This window comes from Homo sapiens, chromosome 20, assembly GCF_000001405.40.
Source record: "Homo sapiens chromosome 20, GRCh38.p14 Primary Assembly".
Taxonomy (NCBI): domain Eukaryota; kingdom Metazoa; phylum Chordata; class Mammalia; order Primates; family Hominidae; genus Homo; species Homo sapiens.
Window position 1 is genome coordinate 8,387,844 of NC_000020.11, and position 19,184 is coordinate 8,407,027.

Below are 19,184 nucleotides of genomic sequence, written 5' to 3' on the forward strand. Positions count from 1 at the left end.
GTTTGAGAAGATGAGAAAGTTCTAGAGATGGATGGTGGTGATGGTTGCACAACAGTGTGAATCTACTTAATGCCACTGAACTGTACACTTAAAAATGGTAAATTATATATTATGTATGTTTTACCACTTTTTTTAAAAAAAAAAAAAAAAAAAAGAAGAAACTGAGAAGGAGCAACCAGTGAGGAGGGAGAAGAACCAGAACAGTGTATTTCCTGGATGCCTAAAAAATATTTCATGGAGGAAATCAAATGGTGAATTCAGGTCAAATGATGAATTTCCTTCTAGCTTTTCTTTTTTTATGGAGACTTCACTTTGGCACACTTGTAACTTTACTGACAATACCCTTTTGTATATGCTTTTTTTTCCCTTATATCATGACCGTTTCCTGCTAATATTCAAATTAGGCCGTTTATTTAAGGGTTGTCAAATCTCAAATAGCTCATCATAGAATCTGGATGCCAATATATAAATCTCATAATGAGCTGTTATTTGGATGTTATACAACAGTGGTTTCAATGAATCATCCATGAGGCCTGGAGTTGAAATGAATGCTTTATTTATTGTCTCCCATTGCTGATTATAAGCTGTTTCCCTGACTTTGTACAGATTTCACCATTATGTGAAGCCACAGTCATAAAATTTGGTATAGATATTTGAGGTTTAGGAAAGAAGAAGAAAACTCTTTACACAACAAAGTAAAGGTTTCTCCTTTTTTCTCCTGATTGCTAAGGAGATCAACCTTTGACCCTTATTCTTGGTTCCAACTATTTCTTAATTTACCTAACATGCTTCAGTAGTTTTTTTGGTTTGTTTTTTGGTTTGTTTTGTCATTTTGTTACTATAAATGTGTTTTTATTTACATCTTTACTAAATGGAGCAAAATAGGGCTAACAACTTATTGAATGATCTGTGTGTGTGCGTGCATGTGTGTGTGTGATGGTTTTGACAGCTATTCACATTTATCTTTAGATGTAAATTATATGGCATAGTTCCTTTTTTATGTTCATTAAATTCCATAGATGTCAGTGGTTTCCTTGGAAACAAAAACCTTTATATAACTAGTCAGAGATTTGGTAGCAGAAATATCAGGATGCTGGCAGGGGTTCAGGGGTGGTTAAGGAATGGTTCCCTTGGCAGATGTTTGCATTTAAAACTCTTCTGACTTTTCTCCCTGCCCCTTACCATCATGGCCATTCAATAGTGCACAAGATAAGATTTTTAAAGCTACTATTAAAATGTAGAATATTTTCTTTAATGGCTAAAAGCTTTTTACTTTAAAAAAAAATCGCAGATATGTTAAGTCTTTTCTGGGGTGGTATAATTTCCCAAATTTGAGAAGAGGTTGGTGTATCTCCTATCAACAGTTAAATCTGCATGTTTAGGCAATGCCTACATTTTTCAGTATATATGGTGTCCATTTGTAAAATACAGTGAACTGCATATGTGTGTGGTTGAATCAAGATTCTATGTCATTTATAATGGCCAGCATCTGTCCTATTACCTTATTGCCAAAGGGTTCTAAAGGACCTGGAGAGGTTGTAGAGAAGGTAAGGGAAAGGTCACGGTTCTGCTCAAGGGTAATAGTAGGTGAAAGGCCTGGCAGCCAAGAACATTCTCACGGAGGCCCAGAGTGGACCTGTTGTTGAAGACAGAATTAGTACCATGAGTTAATGAAACCCAGGTCTTTTCAGAAGATTGTGACTCATTTTTATCATTGCCCCTGTCTGGTGTAATTTCAACGTAAATCCAATTTGTTCTACATGCAATGGTACATAGTTGCATTTGGGAAACATTTCTCAATTTTAATTCTTTTAAACGCAATAATGCGCCATCTTGTGGACATATCCGATATTAAATTCTTAAATTAATTCTACATAGTGAACTGCTCTCTAAGCCAGGGTTTTCAATCATGGGTTCTAATATAGAGATATGAGAAGCACTTGGGGAGCTTTTAAAATCCTGATGTGCAGGCCACACCCCAATCAATTAAATTGAAATGTCTGCTGTGGGGCTCCAACACTGATATTTTCTTTAAAGTTCCCAAGAGATTCCAGTGTTCAACCAAGTTTCAAAACCATTCGTCTAAGTAAAAAGAGTACCAGCTTAAATGGATGATTTCTCTTTTGAAAATAGAGATTTTACACAGAAAAGCATTGAGAATTTTCCTACAAAATATGCTTGTCAAAAGGACCACTTTTCAGTCAAGTTTTCCTTAAACTTGACCACTATACTTAATGTAGAGAAGTACACCACGGTACTTGTATCAGTCTTCTCTGGTTACCACAGCAAAGTACCACAGGCTAAGTGGCTTAAAGCTTAAACAACAGAAGTTTATTCTCTCACAATTCTGGGAGCGGGAAGTCTGAGACAAAAGTGCCAGCAGGGTTATTTTCTTTGGAGGCCTTTCTCCTCGGCTTACAGATGGCTGCCTTCCCCGCATCTTCACGTGGTCCTCCCTCTGTTTCTATTCCTAATTTCCTCTTCTAATAAGGAACAAGTTGTATTGCATTAGGGCCCACCCTCATGAATGCATTTAACTTAATTACCTCTTTAAAGCACTATTGCTAAATACTATTACCTTCTAAATTACTGGGGGTTAATACTTCAACATATAAATGTTGAGGGGACACAAGTCAGCCCTTAACAGTGTTCCCTCATTACATTACAAAGCCTAGCTTAGGATTTGCTTCTTTATAAGGAGTAGCAGTGTATGATTATTTTGCTGTTGGTTTAATATAGAAAAGTAGATTTTTTTCTTTATAATCAATACAATGGTCAATGTGGATAAAACTGCATAGTCAGAATCATTTCAGAAATACACAATTGCTTTTGCAGAGTGGCTTTAGTACAGAATATGTTGATTTGGCATTATCAGCACTAATTTCTGCATGCCCCAGGGCACCCAGTATGTGTCTTTGTGTATTGCAAGTGCCTATAAGAGTATAGTTATTAAGGTCACAAGCTCTTGGGTCAGAAAGCCAAGCCACAACACCAATAACAAGCTGTATAATCCTGCAAGTTATATCATGTCTCTGAGACTTAGTTTCTTCATCTGAATTACAGGAATAATCGCCATGTTTATATCATCTAGTTGCGGTAAGGACTAAATGACAAAATGCACGTAAGGCACCTAACACAATTGTCACATCCATTGTTTGTCTAAATGCATTTTGCCATCATTATTAAGTAAATAAAATATATAACTTACATGTATGTGATGTAGTGGGAAAAAGCAAGTTAAATAGGCATAATTTACCTATTTACCATAGAATTCCATGCACTAATATAGATTGTCACTATAATCTATATTTATATATATAGATTGTCACTATAATCTATGTATAAGAGATTTATACTTTTGTAGCTGTGGCATTTAAACCTACTGATTAAAATCTAACTTCTATGTATTAGCTATAGAAAAATGAACTTGAGGCATATTTCTCTTTGCAGCCAAACACCTACCCCCAGAGAACTATCACAGCAATATTGTTGTACTAAGACTTACAGTTCTTATTTAGAAAACTGTCTAGATTTGCCAACAGTTAAATAGATTTTCCAACCATCAAAATAATTTTAGAGCAATTTACTTTCAGTTAAGAACATGCGGGTATCTTTTTCTGCACTATGAAGTCATTGAAGCAAAATCCAAAGCACTGTTTTGAAATGGAATAACAAGGTTAGGGGTCAGAGAGACCCAGATTCAAACTCCAGTGCACTTATTAGCTGAGAGAACCCAGGAAGGTTTATTGGTTTCCCTGTGAATGATAATACTTGCTGTATTGATTTGTCTTGCTAGTTGGATTTTAACTGGTAACAAGACATAAATCATAATGTTTGATACTACTTACTTCCCTATGGGCCTTAAGTTCACTTTTCAGTGTATTCTTCTTAATGTTCTGTGAGACTGGTAAATAATGAAGTATATATATATATATGTGTGTGTATATATATATATATATATATATATATATATATATATATACACACACATATATATATATTACTTGAACTTCCTCAATTTTGGAGATTAGGTCATAAACTAATGTGGCATGTAATTTGATACATGTTCCAGCAGGGGAAAATACTGGGATGTAATTTAACGAAAGAAACATTTTGAAATGGGAATATTCTCTGAAAATATGGAGTATATCATTACAATTCCTTTTCAGCTTTAGGACTCATAATAAACTGGGCACTGTCCAGTTTATGAGCAGCGAGTTCCTATAGTTTGAAAGTTTGCGTCCCCTCCAATATTCATGTTGAAACTTAATCGCCGATGCAATAGTATTTAAAGTTGTGGCCTTTTGAAGGTGATTAGGCAATGAGAACTCCTCCCTCATGAATGTGATTAAGGTCCTTATAAAAGAGATTTCACTCAAGGTTCAGTCTTTTTTGCCCTTCCTCCTTGGCCCATCTGAGGACACAGCATTCGAAATGCCACCTTGAAACAGAGAGCATCCCTCACCAGACACGGAACCTGTCTACGCCTTGATTTTGAGCCTCCCAGCCTTCACATCTGTGGAAAATAAATTTCTGTAAATATTTCCCACCTGACAGATCTTTGCTTATAAATTGGCCGGTCTGTTTGTTATAGTAGCACACATAGACTAAGATACTAGTTTTTAATTTGGGTACTGCAGCTGATGGAATAACCTGGGTAGAGTCATACCATCTTTTAGGAATCTCACCTTCCTCATAAAAAATGAAAGAGACAAGCAGGATGATCCCTGGGGACTAAAGGTAATATTTGTATCCATCATGGAGCTATTGGGAGAACTAAATGATATACATCTCTCAAATGGATTTGCCAGCCATAATGTGTGATATAGTAATATCAATTTGTGAGTAAGTTGGGTAGAGTGGAAGGAACTTAGGAATGTATACCAGTTTATTCTGAGAAATTTGTGTTTTGTCTTCTTTGAATGGGAAATGGCTGAAAATTCTTAAATTCCTTCAATGTACCATAAAAAAGTGAAATCCTATATCACTGCCTTTGGATGTGATACATGACCCATAGTAGGTATTTTCGTAGATGAAAGAATTCCTATCTATGGCATTTATCTTATGTGAAAAGTGGCAATTAAGATAGTAACATATTTGCCACTTAACAGATATTTGTTAATGATGAAATAAAGTTTTCCGGAACTCCTGAAATTAATGTCCATAGAGATTTCAAGAAGATGGAATAACCTAACTAATTAGACAGTATGTTTGTTGGTGTTTAAAGGTGAGACAAGACCACTGAGATTAAAAGATCAGAAAATTCTCCTCACACACCTAATACATTTTCTCTATGCCACCTGGTACTTCTGTACTCAAATGCTGCTTGATTTTTATATTTATACCCAAGAATTACTGATTTCAGGTAAGAACAGAGGGCTTGAGAGAAGAATTTGCTCATCACTGCCTGCCATGAATGGGCATAGCTCTGTGAACAGTTATTGTATTTTTTTTTCCTCAGGTATATAGAATACTTTATCAAAACCAAAACTCACTGTTTCTCCAAGTGAGTTCCTTGGAATACTAATAGATGCTATAAAAATGTCATCTAGGTGTGGTGGCTCACATCTGTAATACCAGCACTTTGGAAGGCCGAAGCAGGAGGATTGCTTGAGGCCAGGAGTTTGAGACCCAAAGCCCTATCTCTTAAAAAAAATATAGGTGGATGCAGTGGTGCATGCCTGCCTATACTCCCAGCTACTCAGTATAGGCTGAGGCGGGAGGATTTCTTGAGTCCAGAGTTCAAGGCTGCAGTGAACTGTGATTGCACCACTGCACTCCGGCCTGGGTGACTGGTCAAATAAGTTTGGGAAATGCTAAGGGTTCCTTTATTGCAGGATTTCTCACAGCTTTTGATGTGTTGGACATGGGTTAGTGTCACTTCTTTCTTTTTTCTTTAACTATGGGTCTCTTGGTCACAAGCATCTCATAGGATTAATATAAATGTTCTAAAAGCCATTTATTATGAAGTTAACCACACTTAATAAACTAGAACACCAGTTTATGAGTGATGCTTGTCTTCACAGTAGTGCAGATCCTATTAAAGATGTTTAGAGAACAGGTTCTTAGGTGATCTAAACCAGAAAGGCCTTTTTCATATATCTTGATAATATTAATATAATGTTGAATTTTGTCTTGTATTATATTATGATGTTTTGAATTTTAAAGTTTACTATTTGCATTCTTCCCACCTAATTAATTTTTTTAATTTGAGACCTTATGACAGAAAACCATCAGCATTGCCCACATATTACTCAAAACACAAGAATTTCATTTATTCCCATAGCACCTGGAATCTATGCTGGCATTTAGACAAGCCTAATGCCTAGTGTACCACTAGAGTGAGATTCTCTGTCCACTCTTAACTATTTCTAGAGCCTATTTTTCTATGGTTTCACATCTTATGACTTATATAAAATTGGTACTACTTGGCCTTTGTGGAAGGATTTTAAGTCAAGGTAAACCTTGAATTGAGGTTAGATTAAAAGTGGTAGAACTTACTTAGGGAGCAATAACTTTTAATAGTCATAGTTTCTTTTCGGTTCCTGGTGTGTGTGTGCAGAAAGAAAGAAGTCTGATGATTCTCTGGTTCATGGGAGTTGACTTTTATGCCCTGAAAGTGAGGCTTTGCTTCTGTATCCTCACACTGGGGAACAGCAGTGGTTAAGAGGCTCCACCAGTATTACTCATGTGGTCACAATCAAGTTGCTTAACTTCATGTCTTGCTTTCTTCATCCATAAAATGAAGTTAATAGTACTATTTCTCAGGGTTATTGTGAGGACTAAAGGCCATAACATATATTTCATAATAGGGGATCTGTAAGTTGTAGTTACTGTTATCCTTAAAACTATAGGCCATTAGTGCATATGTTTAATAGGCTTGAAGCTGTGCCATTATTTGACAAGTTAAACTCTTGGTTGCATCATCCATATTCTCAATGTTTTTCTTTAGGTATTTGCATTTGCCATCTATAGTATATAGGCTTCTATCTGGCAAAGTTTTCACTTTTAATGGTATCTTTAACAATATTTTTCAAAAGCTTTGAGCATCACTCATATTTCAAAAATAGTAAGGTCATGTTAAACTTTTAAATTAAATCGTTTCTTCCTAGACTATTTCAAGATTTGTAATACCTGGTTAAAATTGTTTAGCAAACACAATTTTTCTTTCTATGAATGTTAATTAAAAATTAAATTTGACTCTCTTTAGTTGAAATTAGTCATTTTGTATCTGTGCATGAATTACATTTTCCTTGATTCTTATAGTACCTTAGTATAAATAAATTTAGTAAGAGTTTAAAAAGAAGTTTCCTTGGTTGAGGTACATACAAACAATATGGGAAATTGAACACCTATTGACTTTATTATTTTTGCCATAGATAAATCTCTACTGTCGAAAGCAGTAGTTAATGAGACATTTATTTTATTTTATGGGTCTCTGAAACATGCTTCTCTATTAATCAATTTGCTTGCAATTTTGTTTGAAGATTAAAGATTCTTTAGAAGGCATTGTCTACATATTATTACTTATGGATACCAGATGAAAATCTAAATAAAATTAATTTAAGATCTCTTATATTAGTTCTGTCCTACACATATACCAAAGAATGTGGAATGGCTGAATAAGGAAAATTAAATTTTAAGTTTACACAATTTTAAAGTCAATAATGCTTTCAAATAAATTATCTATACATAATATTGAAAAGGAATAGCTCTTAGAATATCTAAAATAAAAATAGATGATTGAGTGGGATATTTCACATGAGTTGGTGGTTTATAAAACTTTGAGAAAGTATGTTAAAGAATAAATTGTGTAAGTAATAGCGAACTAGACTCAGTATTTAATTTTATGCTTAGCTGCTCAAAATTTCATGGTTTGAGTTGAGAATTCTTAAGTCAAATAATTTATTTGAAGGATACTGTAGAGCATTTGAAATACTGTGAAGGTGTGACTAGAAATCTGTTTTTCCCATTTTAAAAAAAAAACAAATTGTTATTCTAGACTATAAAATATAGAAAGTCATAATAGATGGATACTCTTCTCTGTAAATATATTTTCCCCTGATACTTAACTGTACCATGTTATTCTAAATTATTCCTGGTAAATGCTTACAACTCTTCCAAGTGTCTGGAAACTCATCAAGCTTCTTTTAATCATGTCCCTCAAATATTCGGCTTGTAATTTACTAATATTCATGCCCTGTTTAGATTGTAAACAGAGAAACTACAAAGTTGTAACAGAAAAGTAATATATTGAGCTGAATCATGCCTTACTTTTGTAAGTTGAGCTTGTTTCTCTGGCAACAAGATGTTAGATAATAAATCATATATCTAAAACCATATAACTACAGAAGTGGGGAGCTGAAAGTTCAGAAGTATCATCTGACTGTGTTGATGGCATCTTTACCTCAATTAATAAGGTGTGGCAACGTTCACTCAAGGACAGAAATTCAATCTGTGGTGGATCCAAGGGGATTCAAAATATTTCTTTTAATCCAACCAAAACATATTGCTTTAATGGCATTAGTTGGTATTAGTTGCATGTGGCAAAAATTTCATGCACTATTAATCCTAGCACTACACTGCAACACTAGAATTATGTGTCCTTGGCCTTAAATAAATTATTCGGTTGTATGATTGAGAAGAGAAAAACCAATTATTTTAGAGGCCAGTCCTGAATTATTGCCTTAATAAAGGTTCAATTTCAAAAAAATGGGAAGTTGCTCAGTCCAGTTGAAAAACAAGGTGGGAAGAGTAACAGCAAGTGAGTCTTTAATTTTGTCAACATCTGATGCTACTGTTAACACAAAAAGTTGCTTTGAAAAAAATTCAACTAAATAAGTTGCCTTCGTGGTTTAGTAATTCCAGATATACACAATCGTCTGTTTATTTTCCCAAAGATCAAACTGTGTTCATCTATATATTTGCATACGTAACATATTAAAGTTTTCTCATCTAACATGACACTGTAAGCATGGCCATGATTCTAAATATTTTTAATATTTATCAGTTGTATAGCTGAATAATAATGCATTGATTGGAAATCATATTAACTACTTACTATTTACTTTTGAGTAGACAATTTCTGTTTTATTTTTGCTATTATAGGTAAATCTGAAGCAGATATCTCTTCTTCATTTGGCGTTTTTATTCTTTGGTAATGCCTCAAATTGTAATCCTAGCAGTGAGATTACAGATCCAAATAGATCTAATTCAATCCATTATCACAGGTTTCTTCCTCATTTCCTCTTCTTTCATGTATATCTGTTTTTGTATAGTGGCAATTTTGATTCCTTACTGCATTAATGTATTCACTTCTTTGTCATAGTCTACACAAAATAATTCTAGAATAAAAATACTGTTGCTACTAATACAAGTCCACTAGAGAAAATCCAACGTTTCTTTGCAATTATCTTTATTCCTTATTGTATGCTTCACTAAGAATATATACTCCAAGATTATTAAAATTATTTTCTATAGAGTTATATTATTAATTTGCTATACACTTAGATTTATATATTTATAGTTACGTTCAGTTTTAGAGATTAAAATGCTCTATTGCTTTTATCAATTTTACATTTGGAAAGTATAAAATATTCCTTTGCCTCAGCATTCAAAATTATATAAAGAAGAATGCTCAGGGAAGTCACTCTCATCCATATCCTTCCACCCTATTCCTACCCACCTTCTGGTTTTCCTTACCATGTTTCTGTTTACAAAAATAAGGAAACACACACACAAACCCATACCTAGCTACCCAGTCCTCTCATCTCATTTAATAAAAAGTCCATCTTTCCCCAGTGAATTGAGACACCAGTTTTTTCAAAATATATGTAAATTGCCTCAGTCTTTCTTACACAAAATGTAACATTCTATCTATGTGCTTTTATAGGTTGCCTGTTTTACTTAATATAACGTCAATACCTCTTCATATGGGTCATGGGAATCTTTTTCATTCTTTTGTACAGCTGCATATTGCTCCACTATATGGAGGTTCTGTAGTTTTTTCAGTCTTCTGTGAATGAGCATTTAGGTTGTTTCCATTATTTTTTATTATGCATAAGGCTACAATTTTTTTTTTAAATGCCTTCCTTTACATATGCAAAAGTTCAGTTTCAGGATAAATTCCTAGATTTGTTTGTTTTGCTAACATCTTCATAGACTTTTTCTTTGTTTAGATTTTACCATTTTCTACCCCCCTTGCAGTGTATTACAGAATCTTTATTCACACAGTCTCACCACAAAGTGTATTGTTAAGCTTGTTATTTTTGCCACTTTGACAGGAAATGTGATCAATACATTTTAACTTACCTTTTTCTTACCTATGCATGAAACTAAGCCTCCTTTCACATGTTTAAGGACCATGCATGTATATACATACATATATTTCTAAAACATATATAAATATGTATTTATACACACATATATGTCTTAATAAATATATGTCATATGTTTTAATATGTCATAATATATGTCTTAATATACATAAATATGTCTTAGTCACTTTGGACTTCTATAACAAATTATAAATATGTCTTAGTCACTTTGGGCTTCTGTAACAAATTACCATAGACTGGTGGCTGAAATAAAAACATTACCCACAGTTCTGGAGGCTGGGTAGTCCAAGGGCAAGGTGCCAGCAAATCTCATGTCTGCTGAGGGCCCACTTCTTGGTTTGCAGTTGGCTGCATTCTCATTGAGTCCTCACATAGGGGAAAGCAGAGAGAGGGAGAGTTGACTCTCTAGTCTCTTTTTCCAAAGACACTAATCCCATTTTGAGGGCTCCACCCTCATGGCCTAATCACTTCCCAAAGTCCCTACCTCCAACGCCCTATCACGTTGGGGTTTAAGCGTCCATATATGAATTTTGAAGGGAGACAAACATTCACTTAATAGCACAATGCTCATTTGCATAATTTGCACTTTTTTTTTTTCATCTGGTATTTCGTCCTTTTTTTCTCCCCTTGGTTTTTTTGAGCTCTTTATATATCAGGAGAATTAGCTCTCTATCGTACCCTAGAGGTGCAAAAATGTTCTCCCGGTTTATTTTTTCCCTTTTGATTTTGCTTTTGGTGTTTTTTTGTTGCTGTTGTTGATGTTGTTTCTGCCTTGTAAGTTTTTGTTTTTATTTTTATCTAGTCAATTTATCAATATTTTATCTTATTGCTTTTGGCATTTGAGTCACAGTTAGTAAGTCTTTATTCATGCCTAGTTTATAAAGAAAATTCACCTATAGCTTCTTTTTTTTTTTCTAGTATGACTTCGTGATTTTCCATTTAGATCTTGGAGCATCTTGGAGGTTTTTTTTGTTTGTTTGTCATGAGGTATGAACCCAATTTTATTTTTCTAACTTACCGTTCTTTTGTCCCAACACTATTTTTTTCAGACCATCTTTTGCCCTATCCTGGTATCTAGGTGTTCCAATAACATTTATTTAAAAGTCCAATTGTATATCTCTTTTTATTTGCAATCCAGTTGTGCCAACACCACTTATTTAAAAGTCTATCTTTTGTACTACTTATCAAAAAGTCCAACTTTTGTCTAGGTGAGTTAAAATACTTACCTTTTTCATATATAATGTTTCCTTCCATGTGTACCTGGATCTATTTCTGGAATATTTTTTACTATTTCATTGTTCAGTGTGTCTATTAATGCTTACTGAAATACTTTAAATTCAAGTTCTATAAGGGAAAAGTGGATTCTTATTCTAGAATAACAAAACAATTAGAAATTGGCATTTTTTACCAACCCATTATATCAAATATTACTCTCAATACTATTCTCTGCTTTCCAACAACCACCTCCCAAGAAAAAACTATTTTTCCCTAAGACAATTTTTGTTTGTTTCATATATTTTATGTAGGTAGAGAATGCCATTTTCTAGTTTTCAAAACTTTATTTTTTTTACTTTATTTTTTCAAATTCCTAGAAAATGACAAAATCATTACTAGTTAAACAATTAGCAATATCTTGTAGATTTACCCACAAAGTCCCGAAAATAAAAATAAGAAAAAAAACCTTTTGGTTATTCTGCCTTATAAACTTTCATTTTTAGAAATCCATGCCATCATATAAGTTGTTTGTTCTATAATTTCTGAGCTCATTTTATGTAAAAATAACTCCTGTGCATTATTCATGTTGACAGGCCCTTTAAATAGCCATAAAGCCTGTGGGAACAGATTAATGCTGCATCTGCCCTGTGCTTTTTAAGTCTATCATTTTTATGGAATGGAAATCTTGCATAATGTCAGAAGTTTTCTGACATTGTCAACTGCTTGTGGTGGCATAGGGAAGTACCTTAGCTGCACTATGTGGGTGACAATGTCATATTTCCTGATTGGATTTTTATCTGAGGAGGGTGAGAACTGTCAGTTTCACTTCCTCTTAGAAAGATATTTTAAGTTGAATAAGTTTTCCTTTAAGTGACTTGTCACAGGTGGCAACTGTCTGAGCCTGTGTATTCTATTCTTTGTGCCAGAATTTTCTTACCACTGATTACCAGGCACATAATCACTCTTGCCATTTATGACCTTTGGGAAATGAAAATTAAAATGTTATTAGTCCATGTGGGTAGCAGTGGAATTGGTCTGATGTAATGTTTTTAAATTGTTTTTATTTTTTGAAATAAATGATTTTTACATCTACTAAAAAGTAAATTACAACTATTAAAGGTTATCTTATTAAAAAGTATTTCCCCTTCTCCATTTCTTCTGTTCCCTTCCCCTGAGGCAAGGATTCATAGTACTGCAGTTTCTTGTTTTCGTTTCCCAGAAAACCTGTAAATGATGACATGCTATCAAATGCTATTTAAACTTAGCAATTTGTTGCAGAAATTATGCCGTGTCAGCACAAATACAAGTCCTCATTCTTTTTCTAGAGGTTGTAGAGTATTATTTCATTTTATAGATGTGCCATAATTTATGTACTTAGTCATTTGTTAATAGGCATTTTATTGTTTCCGGTTTTTTGCTGCCTCAAACAATGCTTTGATGTGTATATATATGTATATATAAAATATCATCTTTGGGCACAATACAGGTATATTCGAATTTCCTGTTGGTGAAATTGCTAAGTCCAAATATATGTGCATTTTTAATTATGAAATGCATTGCCAAATGGCTCAGCGAAGAGATTATATAAATTAATCAATTACACTTCCACCAACAACAATCAAGATTACCTGTTTCTTCATACTCTTGCCAACACCATGTTTGATTGAATTTTTTTGATCTTTGAAATGTTATAGATGAAAAATTGGGAGCTCTTTATTACTTAAATTTGAATTTCTTCTACTGTGAGTGGAGAGGAAACTTTTCATATTGTGTTGTTTGTATTTCTAACCATATCCTTTGCCCATTTTCCAATATATAGTTCTTCTCACTGTTTCGTAAGATATTTTGATATATTAAGAGCTATCATATACTGGAAATATGATCTCCAGCTTTTAATTTTAATTTGACCTTGTAGAATTATTGCCTTCCAGAATTATGTTTTGTAGTCAAATTTATTAGTCCCTTTTTAAAAACTGTACTTCCAAACAGAGCACCGCTTGGAATAACTATTCTAAAATAATAAAGATTATTTTGTGATTTCTTCCAGTGTTTTTATGATTTTAATTTTTATGGTTGTATCTTTGAGCTATCTGGACCTTATTTTATGACAGTGACAAAGGAATCTTTATTAGTCAGGATTAAAGTAGTCCATGATAACAAACAACTCCCAAATGTCAGTGGAATAACACATCAAAAATACATCTCTTGCTCAAACCATCTGCTGAAGGTCTGCAAAAACATTCCAAGATAGCTATCCTCAGTGATCTAGGGATGTTTCTGTCTTGAGCTCAACCATCTCAGCAAGAGGCCTTGCATTTGCTGTGGCAGGAGAAAACAGCTAGAGAATCAAAGAGGATTCCTCAATGCCTCAGCCTAGAAGTGACATGCATCCCTTCTGCTTATTGACCATGTCCAAGTCACATGGCCCAGCCCAATTCAAGGAGGCTGGGACATACAGATTCCAGTATGCCCAGGGGTGAAAGGAGAACCAGTGATTAGTGAGCTCATAATGTTTACCATAATATCTATTTTATGTTACTCTAGATGGCTGCCAGGTCATCTAACATTACTTATTGCATAACCTATTTTTTTCTCATTGATTTGGAATGCTATCTTGGTTATACACTGAAAGCTTCTGTATCTTTCCATTTTCCCCTGAGATCATTGACTTTTCTATATATTTTTAGACTAGTAATAAAATGTTTTAATTATTGTGGCTTTACAATATATATTACTTGGTATAGTCCTGCTTTATCAAGTTTTATTTACATTTATATTAATTTTCATTTGAATTTCAGAATCAATTTATATTGTTCTCCTAAAAACCATGTGTATTTTTTATTGGTATTTCTTTAAGTGATGAGATTAATGTTATAACACTTTATGTCTTTAGCATACTACTTTTATGCAAGCAGAAAATATGTCTTCATTTATATTCAGGTTGTCTTTTGTATTCCTTAGTAATGTTTTAAGGTCTTTATCATATAGATCTTACAGTTAAAGTTAAGCTTCCGCTGAGTGTTACATCACTTTGATGTTTTAAGTGGAGCTTTTATTTACATTTCTAACCACCTTTTATTAAATAAAAGGAAACTAATTTTTGACATAATATTATGTATCCATGTACTTCACCGAATCTTTTAAAAAATAGTTTCCAGGCCGGGCGTGGTGGCTCATGTCTGTAATCCCAGCACTTTGGGAGGCCGAGGCAGGCGGATCACAAGGTCGGGAGATGGAGACCAGCCTGGCTAACATGGTGAAATCCCGTCCCTACTAAAAATACAAAAAAAAAAAAAAAAATTAGCCAGGCGTGGTGGTGGGCGCCTGTAGTCCTAGCTACTCGGGAGGCTGAGGCAGGAGAATGGAGTGAACCTGGGAGGCGGAGCTTGCAGTCAGCCGAGATCGTGCCACTGCACTCCAGCCTGGGCAACAGAGCAAGACTCCATCTCAAAAAAATAAAAAAAAAATTTAAAAAAAGTTTTCATTTGATTTTTTTCATTTTAACTCATACTCTCTGTAACAATTACAGTGTCACCTCCTTATTTCTAAATTTTATATCTATTTTTGTCTTTGAATTTAAGTTTATGTATTTTGATGACTTGGTAAAATTCTCATCCCTTTGCAGTTGGGCAAAAATTAATCAGTGTTGTATATGATATCATTTTATTAGATTCTAAACTCTTTGTGAGTTAGAACTATTTAATTAAATAAAAATAGTTGACATCTCTTATAGGAAAATCACTGTGTGAAGTCCCAAATGATATAAAAAAAGAAATAAAACATAGTTCTTATGCTCATGATTCTTACCTTTGAAACCCTCCCTCCTCAGCCCCACAAAGCCAGGCACAGTGGCTCATGACTGTAATCCTAAGGCTTTGAGGGGCTGAGGATGGGAGGATTACTTGAGCCCAGGAGTTCAAGGCTTCCATGAGCTATGATCGCACCACAGCACTCCTGTCTGGGTCAATGAAGCAAGACTGTGTCTCAAAAACCAACCAAACAAAAAACAACAGGGAGTGTCCAAAGGCTGTAATACAAGGTCAAATGTAGTAAATGATGTAATTGGGAATCGTAAGAAGTGTTTGGAAATATTAGATTTTAATTTGCCCAGTGGTGCCGTAGGTTGGAATGGAGGGAATGCAGGAAGATGGGCAAGGCTTCACAGAGAAGGAAGCATTTAAGTGATATGTTGATGTTCAGAAACAAGATAGCATGTGAGCAGGGTGTAGTGACACGTACCTGTAGTCCCAGCTACTTGGAAGCCTGAAGCAGGAGGATCACTTGAGCCCAGGAAGTTGAGGCTTCAGTGAGCTCTGATAGTGCCACTGCAAGACAGATTGTGGATTGCAGAAATGGCCATTGCATTCCTCAGGGGAAAATCTATACTCATTTTTAAAGCTTAATTTTTTTCAGCATCTAGAATAGGTGCACCCATGAACATTCAGTATCTTCAGGAGACTAACCATATGGGAATGGTTTACTAGTAACTCATTTGTACTTGAGTATCCATTATATTGGAAACTAGGACCATTTCTTTCTCATTAATTGAGAGTCATGATTTGTCTATAATGTCCTTTATGATGCAGAATTTATCTGATACTTTGAGTTAAATCAGGCTTGCTTTTTGGCTCATAAGTATTTATGTATAGACAGAAATTGTGGCTTTTATCTATTTTTATTAAGTAAAATTGTGACTGATTTTATAGCAATTAAGATGAATTTTTCTTTGCAGACAAATTTTATTGAAGGAATATTGACAATCAACTTTCATTGAAAGCAATGGGTTTTGTGATTTCATGGAATAAATGCTCTGTTCTAAGAGTTAACTGACCTATGTTTTTGTTTCAGGGTTTTGGCTAAATAGCTGCACATCTGTAGCACAAAGCCATTTTTCCTCAGTTTCCTATTGTGTAGAAAAAACATTTGGGATCACAAAATTCCTAGGTTCCTTCCATTCTGAAAATTTTTACACTAATTCCAACTTTGCCTTGAATGTCTAATGATTTGCATTTCTCTATGTAAAGCACATCTCCTGGCACCGAACTGAAAATGAGATTAGAAAACACCTAGTAGAGAGGATAAAAGGTACAAGTCCTAAGCTTATTTTGCATTCCCCTTCTTCCTTTTTTCTCCCCTGAGAAGCAGGATGTCAAGCTCCTTGGAAAACTAATATTTCAAAGGAAATATCAATTTGCAACTGAAGTATGGGATTGAATGATTTCATTGTCTCAAAATGATATGGTGGTGAGGGTAACATTCTATAATTTAAATATTCAAAGTTTTGAAAATGTACAGATTCTTTTAGTAATTCTTCCCCAGAAATACTAGTATTTACTAGTAGTATTTTTTAAAAGCAAGTCTTCTTTGCAAGATATAATCAGTATTGAATCCATAAAACAGAATATTTTGGAAGTATGGCTTTAACACCATGGCATAATTATAGCTGATTATGACCAGAGTTTTGAATTCAAGTAACATTAACACACCACAATTATTGAAGTTGTATGTATCCAGATTAGCAAAATGAGCAATATTTTTCTCTCAACCCTTAATTCCTACATGTTAGTCCTATTTCCTCTGATATTTTCAGGAGTCCTCTTTGCTTTCAGTAGGTATTCAAATGATGACTCTTTCAGTTCTCCATATAGAAGACAGAAATTAGTCTTATTCTCAAGCTCTAACAAACCTTCCCAAAACCCAGTGACATAAAACAATAAACATTTGTTATTGCTAATGAGTTTGCAGGTCAGCTGAGTGGTTCTGGGTTCATGTATGTGTCTGTGGTCAGCTGTGGGTTGATGAAGTGGCTCTGCTGATTTGGGCTGGGGTCTCTCACATGTTTCGAGGTCATCTGGCTCTAGACTAGTCTAGAGTTGTCCCTACTCATCTCCGCGTGTTTTGTTCAGCTCTCCCTTAAAATCAGCACTCTTCTGGTTTCTCCACCCTGGGGATATCCTCACAGTGAAAGCAGAACAGTAAGAGACAGAGTGGAAACACACAAGGCCTCTTGAGGCCTAGACTTGGAACAGGCACTCCATCAATTACGCCACATGCTTTCGCCCAAAGCAAGTCTCAAGGTCAAGCCAGTTTTCCCCCGATTTAGCAGTAGGGAAATAGAAGGAGCTACAGTCATGTTGCAAAAGGATGTGGATACAGGGAAGGTGAAGAATTGTGGCCACTTTTGCAATCAATCTACCCCACTTTCCTTCTGAGAAGCTGGTTGTTTCCAGTGAAATCAAAGCCAGCTGAAACCTGGACAATCAAGTAGCCAAAAACCTTCCCTGTTAGACTTCAGCATATTGAATTTGGCTTGTACCAATTTACAGAGCCAGTTGTTAAACACAGCTATTAAACTACATAAACTTCAATCTAAATACATTATATTGAAAAAAGATGATCATGTTAATACTGTCACTTCCTACTTTTTATTATTATCCATGTTCTCAAAGTTATTTATAATCATTATATCCAAATGGTAGGAATGCTATATAATGATGCTACTGACATCTCTGCCCAAATCTGTGCTCAGTGACACCATGTTGATAGATTGAAATTGGCCATGAGAGTATTTACACAAGATAAATTGACAAACACTACTAATTAGGGCTTTTTTTCTTCCTTTTTTTTTTTGATAGCTGCTTGTTAACATTTACCAGCCCATCATTGCCTGTATGTGTGATGGAGGATTTGAAGGCCCAAGTCAAGTCATTCCTGCATTTTATAGCATGAGTTACAGATTTACTTTATTGACTTTTATGTGTTCTATGGCTTTGATGGAAGAAGGAAAATATGTGGATAGAGTAATTGAAGAAACGAAATTGCTTAAAGCTACATTTTAAAATCAGTAATGACCATAGTGATAAAAGCTGTTTCTCTCTTTCTTTAGTAAACTTTACTGGATGTAATGAAAACAAATTTATTCAACTTACTAGTGTCAGTGTACAAGAATAACCTTAAGGAAAAATGGAAGAACATGCAGGTAATGTTTTAAATTACAGCTTCAGTCATTAAAATATGGCATATGCATTCAGGCAAAAATTGTCTTGTGTTAAGTGTTTTCAACACATAATAATTTCAAGATGAAATTATTGTGAATTGAAAAGCAACAAAAGGAAAGTGAGGTTCACTATCTTCTATCTCCTTGCTAATGGAGGCCAGAACTTATTTAGTTTTGTGAGTCAGATGAGTTGAAATTTGCCTTCCAGTATTCCAAGGCAGCAAAAGGTCATTCCATCTACATAAGAGCCTGTCGAGCAGAGAGCCCTTTTCATAAAGAAAATTCATTGAAGAAGCACTAGAAAATGAATATAATGCAAAGAGTAAGGCTGTTCAAATTCTATTATTCAGTTTTACCAGTATTACAGTAAATTCCCAGAAAAAACAAGAATTATAGTGATTTTATGTGAGGGATCAACTTACCTGGGCTCTTTCTGGCTTTTTAAAATCCGTTTATTGGGGGTATTTTAATGAATTGTTAGAATGTGGTATTGGACAGTGGGAACTTATAATGAATATTTGAGATGTGGTGTTTCAGAGTAGGAAAAATGAGACTGCTAAGTAAGTAAAGAATCAGGATTCTATTTATAAGCCCCTGACAATCCAAAGAAGATTGTTTTAACTTTCAGTGTAACT

The 19,184-nt window shown here is 34.3% G+C and overlaps 1 protein-coding gene and 1 long non-coding RNA gene across 3 annotated transcripts in view; both read left to right on the top strand.

Moving 5' to 3' along the window:
* The window catches only part of PLCB1 (phospholipase C beta 1), a 752,635-nt gene that overhangs the window by 255,578 nt on the left and 477,873 nt on the right, over positions 1-19,184 (top strand). The window lies entirely within an intron of this gene.
* Positions 12,425-19,184, top strand: part of LOC124900459 (uncharacterized) — a 112,238-nt gene continuing 105,478 nt past the window's right edge. The window contains exon 1 of the long non-coding RNA XR_007067518.1: positions 12,425-18,531. This is a non-coding gene — a long non-coding RNA (uncharacterized LOC124900459). The remainder of the gene's footprint in view (positions 18,532-19,184) is intronic.